General features: G+C 35.1%; 1 protein-coding gene across 47 annotated transcripts in view; it reads left to right on the forward strand.

Annotated features, from left to right (window-relative positions):
• PPP1R9A (protein phosphatase 1 regulatory subunit 9A) overlaps window positions 1-19,848 on the forward strand; it is a 389,180-nt gene that overhangs the window by 325,938 nt on the left and 43,394 nt on the right. For 41 of the 47 annotated variants that reach the window (XM_047420574.1, XM_047420585.1, XM_047420580.1 and 38 more), the window contains 4 exons: window positions 14,300-14,353; window positions 16,853-17,082; window positions 18,589-18,685; window positions 18,786-18,957. In XM_047420574.1, the coding sequence (XP_047276530.1) occupies window positions 14,300-14,353; window positions 16,853-17,082; window positions 18,589-18,685; window positions 18,786-18,957 (553 nt within the window). The other 6 variants (XM_047420596.1, XM_047420600.1, XM_047420598.1 and 3 more) reach the window with 4 other exon arrangements.

Raw genomic sequence — 19,848 nt, forward strand, 5'->3', positions numbered from 1 at the left:
GAATACTATGCAGTCATAAAAAAGGATGACTTAATGTCCTTTGCAGGGACATGGATGAAGCTGGAAACCATCATTCTCAGCAAACTAACACAGGAACAGAAAACCAAACACCACATGTTCTCACTCATAAGTGGGAGTTGAACAATGAGAAGATATGGGCACAGGGAGGGGAATGTCACACACCAGGGCCTGTCAGGGGGTGGGGGGCAAGGGGAGGGATAGCATTAGAAATACCTAATGTAGATGATGGGTTGATGGGTGCAGCAGCCTACCGTGGCACATGTATACCTATGTAACAAAACTGCATGTTCTGCACATGTATCCCAGAACTTAAAGTATAATAAAAAAAAGAAAAATAATGTAAAAAATTGCCAACAAAAATAGTCCAGGACCATACACATTCACAGCTGCATTCTGTCAGACATTCAAAGAAGAATTGGTACCAATCCTACTGACACTTTTCCAAAAGACAGAGAAAGAGGGAATCCTTCCTAAATCACTCTCTGAAACTGGTGTCACCCTAATACCCAAACCGGGAAGGGACATAACAAAAAAAGAAAACTACAGACCAACATCCCTGATGAACATGGGTGCAGAAATTCTCAACAAATTACTAGTGAACTGAATCCAACAGTATATCAAAAAGATAACCTACCATGATCAAGTGGATTTCATACCAGGGATGCAGGAATGATTTAACATATGCAAGTCAATAAATGTGATACATCACATAAACAGAATTAAAATTTAAAAATCACATGGTCATCTCAATAGATGCAGAAAAAAGCATTTGACAGAATCCAGCATCCCTTTATGATGAAAACCATCAGCAAAATAGGCATAGAAGAGACATACCTTAAGGTAATAAAAGCCATCTATGACAGACCCACAACCAACATTATACTGAGTGGGGATAAGTTGAAAGCATTCCCCGTGAAAACTGGAACAAGACAAGGATGCCCACTTTCAGTACTTGCATTCAACATAGTACTGGAAGTCCTAGCCAGAGCAAACAAGAAAAAGAAAGAAAGGGCATCCAAATCAGTAAAGAGGAAGCCAAACTGTCACTGTTTGCTGTTGATATGATTGTATACCTAAAAAACTATAAAGACTCATCCAAAAAGTTCCTAGAACTGGTAAATGAATTCAGCACAGTTTCAGGATACAAAATTAATGTACACAAATCAGTAGCTCTGCTATACACCAACAGCGACCAAGCTGAGAATCGAATCAAGAACTCAACGCCGTTCACAATAGCTGCAAAGAAAAATAAAATACTTAGGAATATACCTAACCAAGAAGGTAAAAGACCTCTATAAGGAAAACTACAAAACACTGCTGAAAGAAATCATAGACGACACAAACAAATGGAAACACATTCCATGCTCATGGATGGGTAGAATCAATATTGTGAAAATGACCATATTGCAAAAAGCAATCTACAAATTCCTTGCAATTCCCATAAAAATACCACCATCATTCTTCACAGTACCATTCAGGACTAAAATTCATATGGAACCAAAAAAGAGCCCACATAGCCAAAGGAAGGCTAAGCAAGAAGAACAAATTTGGAGGCATCACATTACCCAACTTCAAACTATACTATCAGTCACCGATATAGCATGGTACTGGTATAAAATTAAGCACATAGACCAATGGAGCAGAATAGAGAACCCAGAAATAAACCCAAATATTTACAGCCAACTGATGTTCGACAAAGCAAACAAAAACATGAAGTGGGGAAAGGACACATTACTAACAAATGGTGCTGGGACAATTGGCAAGCCAGGTGTAGAAGACTGAAACTGGATGCTTATCTCTCAACTTATACAAAAATCAACTCAAGATGGATCAAAGACTTAAATCTAAGATCTGAAACCATAAAAATTCTAGACGATAACATCAGAAAAACTCTTCTAGACACTGGCTTAGGCAAAGAGTTCATGACCAAGAATCCAAAAGCAAATGCAACAAAAACAAAGGTAAATAGATGGGACGTAATTAAACTAAAAAGCTTCTGTTCAGTGAAAGAAACAATCAGCAGAGTAAACAGACAATCCACAGACTGGGAGAAAGTCTTTGCCATCTATACATCTGACAAAGAACGAATATCCAGAATCCACAAAGAACTCAAACAAATCAGCAAGACAAAACAAACAATCCCATCAAAAAGTGGGCTAAGGACATGAATGAATAGACAGTTCTCAAAAGAAGATAAACAAATGTCCAACAAACATATGGAAAAATGCTCAACATCACTAATTATCAGGGAAATGTAAATCAAAATCACAATGTGATACCACCTCACTCCTGCAAGAATGGCCATAATCAAAAAATCAAAAAATAACTGATGTTGGCATGGATATGGTGAAAAGGGAACAACTTTTACACTGTTGGTGGGAATGTAAACTAGTACAACCACTATGGAAAACAGTGTGGAGATTCCTTAAAGAACTAAAAGTAGATCTATCATTTGATCCAGTGGAAAAGAACTCATTGTATGGAAAAGATACTTGCACATACATTTTTATAGCAGTACAATTTGCATTTGCAAAAATATGGAACCAGCCCAAATGCCCATCAATCAATAAGTGGATAAAGAAAATGTGGTTTATATGTACCATGGAATACTACTCAGCCATAAAGAGGAAAGAAATAATGGCATTCACAGCAACCTGGATGGAATTGGAGACTATTATTCTAAGTGAAGTAACTCAGGAATGGAAAACCAAACATCGTATGTTCTCACTTAAATGTGGGAGCTAAGCTATGGGTACACAAAGGCATGAGTGATAAGTTGGACTTTGGAGACTCAAGTGAAAAGGTGGGGTGGCAAGAGGTTAAAGACTACACATTGGGTACAGTGTACACTGCTCAGGTGATGGGTTTACCAAAACCTCAGAAATCACCACTAAAGAATTTTTTAATGTAACCAAACACCACCTGTTCCCCAAAAACCTATTATAACAACAACAAAAAAATTTTAACTGCCACAAAGATTATATTTGCTTCAATATAAATTAGGAAGTTTTTCCGTATTTTTTTATTTTCAGAAATTACTTTTATAAAAGAGACTTAATGATGTAGATAAGATAGAAAGTTCCGTTCCTGGAAGTTTGTTATTATTCAGCTTTTAATTCAGCATATTAAAGGTAATGACAGAAACCACAATTACTTTTGCACTAACCTTATATAAACCATCTGTGCATTAGTGGAGGAATATTTTAAGTACCTTTCATAATAATTATTACTCTGTTCAAGTTTTCAATTTCAGGGGGACGATTTTGGTATTTTGCATTTTTCAAGAAATGTAGATATTTCCTTTAGGCTATTATACTTATTAACTTATATTTTTATAAAATAATTTTTAAGTATTGAAGTATTTTATATTTATAAGTAGTTATCCCTTTTATATTCTTTCTTCTCTTTATTTGAATATTTTTACTTTTTTAGGTTTTTTTGTAGAATTTTATCTGTCATTCTAGCTTTTTAGTTCCTAATTGTTTCTTCTTTGATTAAAAAAAGAAAAAAAACAAAGACCAATATTTCTTTTTTCTTTCTTCTTTTTTTCTTCTTGGTTGATTAATTGCACTTAGTTTATTTATTTTTAATAACTCTTACATTCTGACACCTGTACTGATTTTTTTCTGAATATTGCTTTAACTACATGTCACAATTTTTTACAGATAGAATGCCATTGTTATTTATATGTATTTTTTCTTGCAATTTTCTTTTTAACAAAAGAATGATATAGTGTTTTTTTTCATTTTCCAGACATGTAGAACTTTATTTTGCTATATTGTGTTATGGGTTGCAACTTTATTGCACTCTGATCAGAAAACATATTCCATATAATAGCTATTGTGTAGAATTTTTTAAGATATTTTATATTAATAGCTTGATACATAAACAGTTTTTATTTAATAATCCTCATTTATGCAAAAAGCACCCTTGTTCCATATTTAGATGTGAAGTTTATGTGTGTGTATGTGTATATATATATATATTTTTTTTTTTTTATGGTTTTTTGTTTTTTTTTTGAGATGGAGTCTCACTCTGTCTCCCAGGCTGGAGAGCAGTGGTGCCGTCTCAGTTCACTGCAACCTCTGCCTCCTGGGTTCAAGTGATTCTCCTACTTCGGCCTCCCAAGTAGCTGGGATTACAAGTATGCGCCACCACACCCAGCTAATTTTTGTATTTTTAGTAGAGACGTGGTTTCGCCATGTTGGCCAGGCTGTTCTCAAACTCCTGACCTCAGGTGATCTGCCCACCTTGGCCTGCCAAAGTGCTAGGATTACAGGCATGAGCCACCATGCCCAGCCATATTTTTTTATATATAAATAAGATTAATAATACAAACACATATACACATTTTTTCTGTACTATGGCTTATATTTTGTCTATTTGATCTACCAAATCTGAAAAAGCATATATTAAAATCACCAGTTACCATCATTTATTTCTTCCTGTAATCCTACCAGTGGTAGTTTTAGATATTTTACATCTTTGTTGTTAACTGCATATATGTTGAGGATTATTACAACTTCTTTATTTATAATATCTCTCTTGTCCTTTATGGTGCACTTTGTCCCAAATTATATTTTGTCTCATAATAAAAAATTAACTCTGGCTTTCTTTTGCTTTATATTTGTTTCACAGCATCTATTTTTTCCATCTTATGTATGTATTTTTTCCAACTTATGTATGCCACCTTATTTCATATTTTACAATGTCCATTCTTTTTTCTTATTTCTTTTTTAAGTCTTTCTACCTACTTGCCATTAGGTACATCAAATTTTCATCTGCTGCTTTAAAGTTATACATTTGTATTTTATTACCTTGACTTATTTTGACTTAGTCTTAGGTTATTTTTTCCTGGCAATATATAAAGCAGATCAATATCTATGTCTTTATCGTTTAACAAAATAATACCCATAGCATACCATCCTCTACCTCTCCTCTTGTTGCCAACTTTTTGTATTTCAGGAGTTTTAGTTACATATATTTGTAAGTGTACTTTTTACAAAATAATTAGTTCCAGCTCACCTATACTTCTTTCTGTCCAACTGTAATGGGATTCTGGTGCTGCCCTAGTGTTAATTCACTATTATCTCTGGTGCTGCAGCTTACCTACCACATTACACCAAAGGTTTCTACCAAAGGCACCAAAGGATAATAAGTTAGTGTCTAGGAGGTCTAAGCTTCAGGGCCTGAAATAGGCTATCCCTGATGTACCTCCAGATACAGGCTTACTCAGGTTATGTGGAGAAGACTAAAGATTAAATTGCTGGCCCCCATTCCTGGTTACTGTACTCTCCTGCTTCAGATCCTCAGTTTTCCAAAGACATCTGCAACTACTTGTGTTCTGTATGAGTTTCTCATCAGCTGTTTTATTAATTGATGAATAAGACCCTGAAGCCCATACAAAGTCTATTTTTCTTTTTTGGCATCTCCGAAGTTGAATTCAAGAGAGACAGGGAATAGCTCATGTTAGTTTGCTATGTTGTACTGCACTGGCACTTTCCCCCTCCCTAACTTTGTATTTTTATTTATTCCATCATCCTGTTTCTCTTAGGAATGTTTGATTACTCATATTCTAACTTCTTGAAACCAATGCTGAATTTATTGTCATACTTGATTGTTTAAATATGAGAGCAGTTAAAATTATGAACCTGTCTCTTATTATGCCTTTGGCCACATCTCGTTTCAACGTGCATTCTTCTCATTTTCATCACTTCATAAATAGTCTATATTTTTTATTTTTACTTTCATTTTCTCTTTGACTTGAACAATTGGGGAAACTTTTTAATTTGTAACTTTTTAATCTATTTAATGTTTTATTACATTGAGGCCAGATAATAGTGTCTTTTCAAGTTTTTCTTTTTTTGAATGTGTTGCTTTTATTGTAGACTAATACTGGTGTTTTTGGTAAAAGTGACACGATGTGTTTTAGACCTTCTGGATCCATATTCATTTTTCCTTAATCTAGGAAATTGAGAATTATATATACTGAAATTATACCTCATTGTTGTATTTTGTGTCTTACAGCTTTGGTTATCTATGTTGATGGCATGTTGAAAGTACATAAAATATGACTTCAAGATTTATCAACCTTTAAGTATACTTTGATGTTAATATTCTTACTGCTACTTTTGTTTGCAGTTGCTGGATAAACACCAGTGTATAAGTGTGTACCTATTTTTAACATAAACATAATTGTAGCACTTTGTTTTATAGTAGCTTTAAAATAATATAATCACCTGTGGTTCCAGCTATTCAGAGGGCTGAGGTGGGAGGATCACGTTAGCCTGGGAGGTAGAGGCTTCAGTTGAGTGGTGATTGTGCCATTGCACCCCAATCTTTGCAAGAGAGTGAGACCTTGTCTCAAAATAAATAAACAAATAAAAATATAATATTGGAATCTGTATTTTTTACAAGAAAATTTAACCAATTTAAGTTTATAATTATAATTATGCAAGATATAGGTGTTCCCACCTTATTTTATGCTATATGTTTCTTTTATGTTTATTGGCTTTCACACTAAGGCTTGTCTTTAAGTTTTTGAAAAGTGTTTAAAAATTTAAGGACAAAATAAAAATTAAAATATTAAAAATGAAATTAAAATTTAATTTAAAAATTAAAAATTAAGAACAAAATATAATTTGAATTCAAATAATCATTTGAATGTTTCATATGGAAGATTTTGATACACTCTTGGGTTCTAAGCGAGATTATTAAAATATAATTGTTACATTTTTTAAAAACTTATGTTTTTGGTTAGTTTTCTAAAGATATTTACAACAGATAGTTATACTCTCAGGTTAATCAGTATCCACTATTATTCCTTTTAAAGAATAATTTCTTCATTCTTATATTCTGAATTTTTTCTCATTCTCAGAGTATATCTTTAAGTAATTTGTTAAGTATTTGTGGAGGATATAGTTTCCATGAGCTTCCCATACTGAGAATGACATTCTAATTCATTTATGAACTTTTTCCCTGAAAAAGTGGTAGGGCAAGTTTTATTGTTTTAAGAGTGTTTTAAAGGAAAAGTCTAACATAAAGCTTGCATTTGGATGCTTGTATTGTTTTCACCTTGTACTTTAAAAATCTTTAGCACAATTTATTGAAGTAGGCCTTCTTTCATTGATTATTTGTCTTTTTAATTTGCTTTCATTGCTCTGTTTTTGTTTTGTTTTCATTTTAGTTCATTAATGTTTCCTTCAGTTTTTTCCTATTTCTGTTTTTTTTCTAGAAATACTGTCATCAGTATCTATTACGTTTTTTTATGGTTTTATTTTGTCTTTTTTTCGTGTCTGAGATTGTTTCTTAAATTTGTCTTGTCATATCAGTGATTTTATTTTTTATAGCATTAATTATGCTTTTTGTTAATTTTTTATTGGGTAAAATATACATGTATAGTTTACTGTCTTTACCATTTTAAGTGTACAGTTTAATTGTAATTAAATATGCTTTTAAATTCAAATTCATTTATGCTTTTTAGCACTTCTAACATGACTTAATTCTCTTATTAAATGTTTAGTCTTCTTACTCTTCATTCTTTCTCGCTTTTCTTTACTTTCTCTTCAGCCTAGAATTTCAAAAAGTGATCTTAAAATATTTTTTTACTTATGGGATACATCATTTTCACAAGTTTACTTATTTGTGTGTTCAAGTTGATATTTTCTTTACCTTGATTTGCAGTATTTGTTAATAGACCTAAGGTGACCTGTTTTTTCTTTCCTTATCTTGAAATGAAACAAAAATCTTTTAGTAGGTTAGTCAGTAATTATTCACTTTTTGATTATGAATCTCATTTCTAGACTTAGATCAGGAGGGATATTTAGGTGCCTCGTGTCCAGCCCAGTTGCTATTTTCTAGCAGTCTGACATCTAGGGCAATTCTCTGTACTAAGGTCAGATACTCCCAAGTATTGCCACACAGTTCTCTAAGTTAAAGAGATAAAAAAGGTAATTTCCAGTCTTCACTGCTAGCAAGGCACTTACTGAAGCCACCCATGTCTATATAGGTCTGCAGCTGAAAGTATGCAGTGTGCCATGCATCAGCCACCTTCCTGCATTTCCCCCTAACAGTTGCTTTCTGAGCAAATATGGAATACTGAGGAAGTTAGAGAGCCCAGTTTGAGGCCCCATTCCTGGGCAAGACAGTAGGGGTTGTCCACTTTTTGCTTGGGACAGAATGGATCTCAAGCCATCAGTGAGGGTGGTACAAAGTGTCTCCCTGATGTCAGAGGGGATCTTGGATAGATTTTTCTTAATTCAACTTCATGACTCTTTTATATTCTATGAACTGTTGTTTTTAGTTGTGGTGTTCATTTTTGATTGTGAGTTTTTTTGTTTTTAATGTGATTACACTGGCAGTTTAATGGAAGGTACGGCGAGGCTGGCTCAGGAACTGTTAGCCAGGTACCATTTAAAGTGACTGTCCAATTTCTCCCTTGCCATTCCTCCTCAGGAGTCACAGCAATTGCAACAATTAAAAAAATTCGACATTTCTCTTGAAGAAAAAATGGAGTCTAAAAGTTGGTTTATTTTATTTATTTAATTCTATGAAAAAGAATCTAGAAAAGTTATAAAATGCATGGGATAATAACATTAAGTTATCTTTATGGAAGTTTCCACTACCATGTAGGGAAGCTATAAATTGCTGCCTACTTAATAGCAAACAGTTACTTATTTAAAAAAGAGCTGTAATTACAGGCCATCAACTACATCCAGCAGCAGCATCATTAATAACAAGTTTATGAGTACCTACTTAGGGAGTGACCTTGTTAGAGAATCTCACCCAATGCTACATATGCTGCCATTAGTGTTACCATTCAGATTAGATTGTGATATTGTTCAGTCAGCCAGTTTTAGTTCATTTTGCATACATGATTCCCTAAGTAAAACACTTTCGTTAATACTGGATAGATACCATATGTAAACTTTTCAGCAGAAATTACAAAGAAATATGGCAAAGCTTCATCTTAACACCAAAATGTAGTTAAAAACAGCTTTGATTTCTTTTGTGAAGCTATATTGTTGTAGGTAAGACATACATCACTCAAATACTCACAAAGATAACTAAAAATTTAGATCCCAATCTAGAAAGCACTTTATAAAGTTCTATGCAAATATTAGTTATTGATTTGCTTTTGTAAAGCAACAGCAGAAAATGTTGCCCTTATCTGATTGTAATATTTCTAGAACTAGAGCTCTCTTAAAACATTTCCTGCAAAGATATTTTTCACTTTTTAAAGAAAAATGTTTCCATGCTCTCACAGGATAAGTAGAGAGAGGGCAAAAGTTCAGTCTCACTATTTAAGTTTCTGTGTAAAGGATGTTTCTATTTCTAGCACAGTTATATTTGGATTATATCGATCCGGTAATATGAGTGCATGTTCTGTATTCATCTTTTTGAAAAAAAAATTATACACAGCAGGTACACCTTCAGAATGTTAAATGAAAGCTCCTGTTCTCATAGGAATGTGTATGTTTATTTGTGCTGAAATCCTGAGGTGCATATCTATGGCTTTCATATTAAAGATGACTGAAGAGATGAAAATGATGGTCTTGTAAGTTAAAAGACTTTTACCTGCAGTCCTTAACCTTTTCTTTTTATTTATGCCCTCCTAATCCCAACTCTTTTCTCCAAACCTAGCTTCTCTGAAGCCCAAAAACTCCAACAGGCATCTCAGGCTCTATTTCTATTAACCAGCCCTGTTAACCTTCTATCCCTGCAGTCAGCGTGCCTGACCATTCTTGCAAACTCTTGGACCTGTACTTTGAAAAGGTTATTGATTCTTGACATAAATCTCTTAAACATGTGGAAAGGGAACTGCTCTAGAATAAGAAAACTCAACCTTTTACCAACTATGCTTCATTTGTCGAGGTCCTTCACCCCTGTGAAAAGCAATTTTCTTTTCCTCATGAAATGGAGATAACTTGGGTCCATCTTGCTCACTTTGCTTGGAAAGTAGGGTCCACGTCTGGACAAACAGGCCAAAGACACATGACATCTGATCTGGCTATAGGAACAAAAGACTAAACAAGCCATCCAGCAGCAGGTTGCCTCTGACCTTTCTCACAGGGTGATCTGGAGAATTCTTACAAGGTGTTTTTATTAATCTCCCTGAAGTATCTTGAAAGTAGATTCTATGTCATGTTCATGTATCCTCAGTGATTAGCATAGTACCTAGCACGTAGTCTCAGTCACTAAAGGCCAATTGATTATTAAGGGAGGTGGAGGTCTGCTTTCTAAGCTTCATTAATAATAACAGCAGCTGATTGAGCACCATTTTGCATTCACTGTCAGAATGCTCAGAGACTACCAGAAGTGATCCATGGTTTCCAGTTGGAGTAATAACTTCTCATCTGAGAGGTTATGATGATGACATATGGCTTGGGGTTTGGGGGAAGATTAAATGAAAAATATATCCCAAAGCAACTGGTTCAGTTAGATACATGGTTAAGGGAGGAACAGAGGTAGGAAGAGTCAAATCTGGTTTTGTTTCCGCTCCATCACCTGTTTCTAGTGGGAACTTGAAAAGGTGTGTGACTTCCCTGAGCCTCTTTCCTCATCTGAACCATGAGGTTCACAACACCTGCCCTGCCTCCCCCAGTCATTTGCAATGATAAAGGGAGATGATTAAAAATAAAGGGGCCTACAAATGTAAGAAATTTAGTATTAGTGGAAAGAACCATGGGCTGGGATTTCTAAAACCTGGCTTTGGCACCTAATAGCCTTCCAAGGTAAGCTCACTAGACACAGGTCCATACTATATAAAACAAAAAGGGTTCAGTTAGTGTATTTTGATGCTTTTCTTGTCAAAAGTGATGGATTTGTAGAAATTCTCTTAATGTACATACAGAATTAAAATAATCGCATATTTTTAATTTTAGGCCTCATGTGTACTAAGAAAATCTTGTCCATTCTGAATAATGTGAATTTACACAATTCATTCTGCTTTCCTATATGTAAAGAATTTAGCTATACTTAGTAACACTCCAAACTTTGCGCAGTTGTTCTCACCTCACTGCTAATTAGTTCAGTTCCCTCCTGTTATCCATTTTTGGTGAGATGGAAAGGGTAGAATAGATCAACATGGGCTGTTTCACAGTTTTACCTGGGTTTGTCCCACAATTTGTGGATTAATCTAGTGTATTTATTCACAAGAAGGAAAATATTGGCTCAGGACAAGAATTTCTAAGCTCTGCAACCTTGACAACTACCTTCAGGTTCTTTGTTTCATAAATGTCACACCTGTTGTATGTGAAAGGGCCCTTGGAGTTCCTCACATCTAGCATTTTTCATATGGGAAACTGAGGCCCAGAGAAGCAACTTATAGAAGACACAGTGATCTGAGAAAAGAAAGTCCAAAATGCCAACAAGCTGCATGCCACGTATTTGGTTACCCTACGAGGAGTTAATAAAATCTGTCACTTGCCCATAGTGCAGTGTTCACTGTGGAATCTGCCCTTTTGATTTCTTGTTTCTCTTTAAATTGAATCAGAGGTGTTCATTTTACTTCAGGTGTGACATTTTACAGCAGTTAGCACATTTAACTGAGAGGTGAAGCTGGGGTAATCATATTTGAGTTATTCAGATCATTCTTTCTTGGTCCTAGCTGAGTTTATTGAGGACATACTATATGCTAGCCACTGTGCTAAGTGCTTTATATGGGTTTTATCACTTAATCATCCAATAAGGAAGGTTATGACTTATAAGGAACTGAATTTTACAGGCAAGGAAAGTGAAATGAAAGAGGTTAAGTAATTTTCTAATGCTCCATAGAGTACATGGTAGACCAGAGATGAATTCAAGCAGTCTAAGTTAACTACTCTTCATGCTTGGCACATGGTTGAAAGAACAAGAAGTATATCTTGTCAATAGCGATTGCAAATCCTATAAAATCACCTAAGTGTATGGATTTTCTGGATGCCTTAGCACATAGCCATGTATGTTTGTGTGCATATACATTATTTGTTTTTGTAGATTTATATATAAATAATGTGTCTAATGTCTAAGTACTTTTGCCCTTTTTTACGTTATTAGTTTATACTGGTGGGGGAGATTAGCCCTAATATTTATTAGAGGGAGAAAAAGTCATTTTTACAGCATCCTGCACATAGCAACTCTTCAACGAATGCCTATTGAATTCATCCTTATTTTCTAAGGAAAGTGGCAATGGATCAGAACGAGAAGATCCAGGTTTTAGTTCTGGTTTTAATGGTGATTCACTGTGAGGAAAAGACCAGGTTGGCTGTCTTCTCCAATCTTTAGTCTTCCCGTGTCTAAAATGAGTTCAGAAGAGCCTACAGTTGGAGCGTCCACTGGGCATTCAAGCCTATCTGACTGGCTAGCCTGGTGTGTCAGGATTCCAAAAGATCCATCCAGACTAGGACTTAGGATGAGTATAGACCTCATCAGTGAAGGGGTAGGAATTGCAGGGATTTCTGAGCAGCACTGTTGTGTCTTTACACCTTCTTCCAATCTAGTCATTGAGAAAACTTGTGATTAGGTTCCTTGCCAGGTGCACTAATACTCTGAGCATCTGCTAAAGGCAGGTAAGTAAGAATTGTACCACTTGTGCTGTGGTAAGAAACTAAAAGAGCCAGATTTTGTGTCTTATAAAAATAACATTTCCACATAGGGTCCTACTCTAGAAACTGTTCAAGCATAGAAGCCCCTAGGAGCCGGTGAGGGTGCAAGGAGCAATAGCCACACCAGCAAGATGGCCAGAGTGACCAGGTCAGGAAGAATGTAAGCAGTGTGAGTGCGGCAGAATCAAACTGAAAAGTTTCAAAATCACTCTCAGCACCAAGAGCAGTAACAAGAGCTGTGGCAGTGCAGACCTCATGCCTTTTGCATAACAGGAGGAGCACTTTACAAGGAACTTAGGAACCCTCAGGTTCTGGGCAGTTAGCCACAGGCATCCAAGGGGGTCGAATAGACCTGTCCTTGGTTCTTCCATCTTCCCTTTATCATCCTTCCCATGTGTCCCCATGAACTTGGTAAAAACCCAAGGGAATACAGGTTGCAAACCCAAGAGAGGGCTGAGGTTTATGAGGTGCTGTGGTCTCCACAGGTTCACATTGCTAGTCTGAAAACTCCACATTTCTGTCCTTCTGTCAGACTCACTCACTTCTGATAAGAAAACCTCTTAGCCTTACTTGATTACAGTAATAGTAAAAGTTTATGGTCCCTCATGTACAGTCTTAAATCCAAAACGCTCCCAGTCTTTTTTGTAATTTTGTGTCAAACTAATTTAGTGGTACAACCTGACCTAACAGGATGCTATTTACAGTCTTCATGTACCTCGCTTAGTGGGAATATTCATGTTTGGTGGCAAAAATAATTCATGTGTTTTTGACTATAGAGTGCCTCCAAAGACCCTGCTGTGGATAATAAGCAATTTGTAGAAGATACATCGTAACTACTTTTCTGAAGTTGGAAGAATGCTGACTTCCAAAAACATCTGGCCCCAAGGATTTCAGACAAGAAATTGTGAACCCATAAGTTGTTTTTCTTAAATTTGGGAGTATTTATTGATCCCCTAAGGAAACGAATGATTCGTTCAGTTCCTTCTTCTTCCCTTACAAAGAAAACAAAGCGGGGGGAGGGACAAGCAAAACAAATGTAAACTGTGACTCTTATTGCTAATAAGCTGTGGCAGAAGCTGTTGGGGGTCTGAGTCTTCAAAAGGAGCAGATCTTTTGGAGGACAGAAATCTGGATCTGTACCTTTCCTGCAATTAAAAGAAAAAAATATGTATCAGAGATTTCCCCGTGCAACTGCAGTCCTCCTCCTCTCTCCCTTTGCAGTGGAGCTGCTGATCAGAATGTGCTTGCAACTCACAGGACCATAGCGCCACCTTTCTTGCAGATTTGGAATAAATCTTCACACGTCCAGGTTTGGAATTAAATCACACTATCAGCTCACTTGCCTGTGTATGCCGTTCAGTTAGCTAGACTTAGCAAGGAAACAGTTCCTTGACGCTCAAATCATAAAGGAAGAGCTGCAAAGAGGGCAATAAAAAGTGTTTTCTTCTCTTGGTCCCTGAGCAATTAAATTGGTAACCTAATCTGATGTTAGGGAGTATAGACCATAAACTGTGTTTAATTAGTTTGCACCCAGTGTCATTTCACACAGTAGACACTTTAATTTACAACTTGCTGCACTGCAGCACTTTTCTAGGCCTTTTACTATGTAATAAGGCATTCTTGTAGCTGCTGAGGCTTTACAAATATAGATACACTTTCTTAGTTCAGATTTTTTCTTTCTTTTCAATTTTCAGTTGCAAATCAAACATGCAGTTACAGAAGCAGAGATTCAAAAATTGAAGACCAAGGTAAGCACCGAAACATGGTGTTTGAATTTTACTTTTTAAACTTCAGATACTATGAATAAATCCAATCCTAGGACTAAAGGTTTTGTCCCTGTATATTTGAAAGAATGCAAATGTGATAGATTCATTTTCACTGTCAGGTACGTAGACAAACCTGCCAGTGAGAGCAAACACCCACATCCCCCTCAGTGCAAATAACACAATATTTTAGATATATATATTTATGTATTTGCACATATGTGGCCTCTGAGATTTCCTTAAAAAGTAATATTTTTAATGGTTCAAGTATGCAAAGTATGTTTTGATTACTAATTCCTTAAGCAAAGCTACTATATCTCCTCTTCACTTACCTTATTATAAATAGATTTAATCATTTGTAGGAACAAATTTAGTATAGCACATCAATGTTTTATAAACCATTTCTAATTTCTAATAATTAAATCTTATAAACTTAATACATGCATAATTTAAGTGCCAGGTACTACTGGAAATTTTTAGTTGTTTGGTTCACATAATTTAAATTTGTGGGGGAGAAAAGGTCTTGATAAAAGGGAGTATGTATTATTAGTCTATATATTTTCATTGACAAACTTTAAGGCACTCGTATGAGACACAATTCTAGCAATTTTGTTTAGTTTTATCAAATATACAATTTCAAAGATTTAAAAATATATTTTAAATTACTTTTAAAGCAATATTCTTTATTGTTTCAATGGTCTTTTAAAAATTAAAACATAATTACCCTCCCCCGCCCCCAATCACCACCACCACTACCACTAATGATCTCTTTTGTTGTTCACATTGAACACTTGTTTTGGTTTCTCCGTGTGTTTTAAATGGAGATGAATTAGCAAGGCTATTTTGGTTAAATGCTATTCTCAGCTAATTCACTCTGCAGCTCTTTAGTCAAAATACGACTATACATCATTCACGGTGTTAGTCCAGCTCCGTGAATAATAATTTTAAATTAGTGGCGGTTGCTAAATAAACAACTTGATACAAAACATTGCTTAATAAAAGATGCAGTAAATAACCTATTCCTGTTTTAAATTGTCATTGTCTCTTGACATAGAAAGAATTGAAGATTTTTTAAATTGTTGTTTTAAAAAGATCTCTTTTTCCCTGTGATTGTGTTTTAATGGCGCTTATGTATTAGACTATAGACATTTAACTTAGAAAATACTATAAATTAGCATTTTATATTTTTTCATCATTATATTGGCATGTAATATCCACAGATTAGCACTTTATTATGATTCTTTATTATTCATTTTGATAATAGAATTCCTAATCTTGACATTGTTTTGGATGCTTTCTAACTTTGTAAACTGTTTTGCAAATGTGTTTAGTTAAAAATATTTGCAAAAACATAGATGTGTGTGTATATAAATACATGTTTACTTTTGCTAAGTGCTATATGATTTTGAACATTGATAGTTTATAATGACTTTGCATCCTTTTGAACTTTAAAGAAGGCATATAAAGTAGATAAAGTACCAGTTTGAAGGCCAGAGAGTTATTGGGAATGACTTTTGAGCCCTCACCTAAATGATCAGTATTGGATTTCTGTAGAAATGAGGGTATTAGACTAGTTTACTATCTATTCCTAAGAGTCCCTAGAAGCAGAAAAACAAAAAGCTGGTTATGGCTTTCTGTTCCGTGGGAGGGAATTAAATTAACCAAGCAAAAATTTATACTTTTACTTACACTATCTTTTATATTTTTATGGGAATTGAGGTTTATAAAGCTTGAGAAATTCATTACACTACATGTAAAATAATGAGCTATAGAATATGTTCATGTTCCTTGAAATAAAGAATGAAATAAGATCACCAAAAGGGTTAAAAGCAGAGTGAAAGTGGTTAATGTTTATCAGATGATTCTTATGCCCAAGGAGCTATTTCAAGCATTCTGATGTGTTATATCACAATTCTGTTGTATGGATGATGTAATTGAGTCTTGGAGAACTTCAATTACATGTCCAAGGTTTAATGGCCAATAATGACAGAACTGGGATTCAAATCCATGCTGAATGACTCCAGAGATCCCCTCTTAACCATTAAGCCATACTGTGCTTCTAACTCCTCTCTCCTCCCTGGCCCTCTCCACTCCCTTTTTAGTTAATTTTTTATATATAATTATATATTTTTTAAAAACTCTCAAAACATGTTGACATTCGTTGGATATATCAAACTCTGAAACATCTTTTACTGCTCACAGAATTTCAGATCACCTGGTGTGATGGAAATATCGTGTGAGGTGGAATCCAATCCATGTTTTATCACTTATCAAATGTGTGACCTTGGACAAATCATTTCACTTTTCAAGGCTTCCATTTTATCATCTGTGGAATTATAAAAATAATACCTGCTTTTCTCATCTCAAGTGGATTCAGTGATTGTTTATGATAATAGAACTTGATCTACAACATGCTATAAAAATGAGAGATTTTTGCCACAAAAGTGGCCAAATTATCTTTGCCTTGACGTTTGCTTTCTCCAGCTGCAGGCAGCAGAAAATGAGAAAGTGAGGTGGGAACTAGAAAAAACCCAACTCCAACAAAACATAGAAGAGAATAAGGAAAGAATGTTGAAGTTGGAAAGCTACTGGATTGAGGCCCAAACATTATGCCACACAGTGAATGAGCATCTCAAAGAGACTCAAAGCCAGTATCAGGCCTTGGAAAAGAAATACAACAAGGCAAAGAAGTTGATCAAGGATTTTCAACAAAAGTAAGCCGCTTCTAATAACTAAAGAATAGTTATGTTTGTCTAAAGAAGGTTTATGTCCAATAATTTTGTAATATCTAGTGGAACAGAAAAGATGACCTTAGAGATATCTTTCCTATCCAGGAGCATAGTTACAGCATAAATACACATTAAGTTTTGGAAGTCACTTCTATCACTTTTTCATGAGATTATGTTTTGTATATTTTATAGTTTTTGGCTGCCAGGGCCTCTTTGCTATTTTTGATAATTAATCGTTGTTTATAACTGTTAAAACATCTGAATTTCTTTATTCTTTTTGAAACACCTCTATGATTTAGAAACAAGAAGCCCAGCGGAAAGTCATGTAGAATGACTGACTATTGGATGTGGAGCACGCAAGCCACAGCTGGGGCCTGAATCAGGCTGCTCCTCTCTATTCTTAGATCAGTAACTACAGAATTTCCCACTACAGACAGTGCACATATCGACTAGCAAGGCCCCCTGCCCTGCCACTCTGCATTTCTCAGCTGTTGAGAGAATCAGGAGGGCCTCCTTTCACTGCAGGGAGAGAGACCATTACCACATTCTGCTTTTGATTTTCAACAGCTGTTTCTGAGCTACTGCTCCTTTGCTTCCATCTCTTGGATCTCGGTGTAATGTCACGGAGACTGACCACGGAGATTTTTACTAGATTTTTTTCATCAGTTACTTCTGGCTAGTTAGAACAAATAAGTAGTACCAGTACCTTTTCTGGTCTTCCATGCCAAGCCTCAGAAGCTAAGCATATATGTAAGATTAACCATATTTCTTTTATTTCCTATTATGTGGAAGAATGTTTTTAATATTTAAAAGAGTTTTGCTATCAAAAGTTTCTTGTTAAAAGGGGAGTAATTATTCTCTGTGACTATAAATTCAATACATCACTGTTTTAACTATTTGCCAAACTCTTTTTCATGAAATAATTTTATAGTAAATTTTGCTAAATTTGCATATTCTATTCCAGGTTTTCAAAATGGAACTGTTTCTCTTCTCCCCATATTATCCTTAGGTCTATAAGTGAGTGCCCCTCTCGATGTTTCTGACCCACCCAGCCCCCTCTTCACTGTTATTCATAGAAATCTTACAATTATCTTTTTCGAACTCTTATCTAGTTACATCAGTTTACTATACTATGCTTATGACATTGGAAAAATGGAATTATTTCTACCTGACAAGTAATTATCTCCACTAAATTACCCAATGTGGGTCATTAGTGCAGTCTTTCCTATCTAAATATGTATGGGTGTTCTAGAATCAGGAGCTACGAAAGAAAATTATAGTAAGCAGAATCGAATCATTTTTCTTTGCCTTGTGACCCATTAAAGATGTTTTAGTTTCTTTCATTACTATACTTTTTCCTCTAACTGATTGAATGTTGTCCATTTAAATAACTGTTCAGTTGCTTATCCTACTATGCAGTTTATTGTTTCAGATAAGAACTTTCATTTATTGAGTGTATGATATAATCAGAACTATTATTTTCTTCTTAAGAGAGCTTGATTTCATCAAAAGACAGGAAGCAGAAAGAAAGAAAATAGAAGATTTGGAAAAAGCTCATCTTGTGGAAGTGCAAGGCCTCCAAGTGCGGGTAAGTTGTGTTCCCTAAGACACTAAATAATAAGATGGTTTTGCTGTACTTGGAGGGGAGCGCTAGTTTAGAGTTTTATAAATGGATTTGTTTTTCCTAGATTAGAGATTTGGAAGCTGAGGTATTCAGGCTACTGAAGCAAAATGGGACTCAAGTTAACAATAATAACAACATCTTTGAGAGAAGAACATCTCTTGGTGAAGTCTCTAAAGGGGATACCATGGAGAACTTGGATGGCAAGCAGACATCTTGCCAAGATGGCCTAAGTCAAGGTTTGTTTAACCCAACCACAAAAATCATTTTTGATGACTGTGTAATTTGGCCTTTTATTTTTCTTTTTCTGACCCAGAGATTTAAAAGTTGGAAATACCTTCCTACTATGGGAAAGAAGAAAAGGCTTATCAAAATAGGAGTCAATCATTTTAGCTCTCGTCTTATCAAAAATAAATACTTTAATATGTAGCATTAACAAATCACAACTAAAGATAAGCCAAATACTATTTTAAAATCATCATACAATTGACAGATTTAATAAACTGCCTTACAAATTGTAGTTCATCCTATCTAGGATGAACTACACTACTTATGTGTTAATGACTAAGGTTTAGATTTTTTTTTTTTTTTTTTTTTTGAGAGTCTCACTCTGTCATCCAGGCTGGAGTACAGTGGTGCAATCTCAGCTCACTACAACCTTCGCCTCCCAGGTTCAAGCGATTCTCATGCCTCAGCCTCCCCAGTAGCTGTGACTATAGGCATGTGCTACCACGTCTGGCTAATTTTTGTATTTTTAGTAGAGGTGGGCTTTTGCCTTGTTGGCCAGGCTGGTCTCGAACTCCTGACCTCAGGTGATCCACCTGCCTTGGCTTCCTAGAGTGCTAGGATTACAGGCATGAGCCACCGCGCCCAGCCAAGCTTTAGAATGTTTAAGTCACTAGAATAAAGATCTTTTTCATAATATCAGAAGGCAGACTGCTGCTTTCAGCACTTGAGATTCATGTAGTTAACGAAGTCCATATAGTTTTGTGCTTTTACCATGGTGTACTGTGTATACTTCTTAGGTCTTTCATGTCAAAGACCAAGTAAGACCAAAACACTGGAAACATTTGGTATTATAAATGATTATCTTCATTCATACACCAACCATAAATAAATTACTTATGTTC

This window comes from Homo sapiens, chromosome 7, assembly GCF_000001405.40.
Source record: "Homo sapiens chromosome 7, GRCh38.p14 Primary Assembly".
Taxonomy (NCBI): domain Eukaryota; kingdom Metazoa; phylum Chordata; class Mammalia; order Primates; family Hominidae; genus Homo; species Homo sapiens.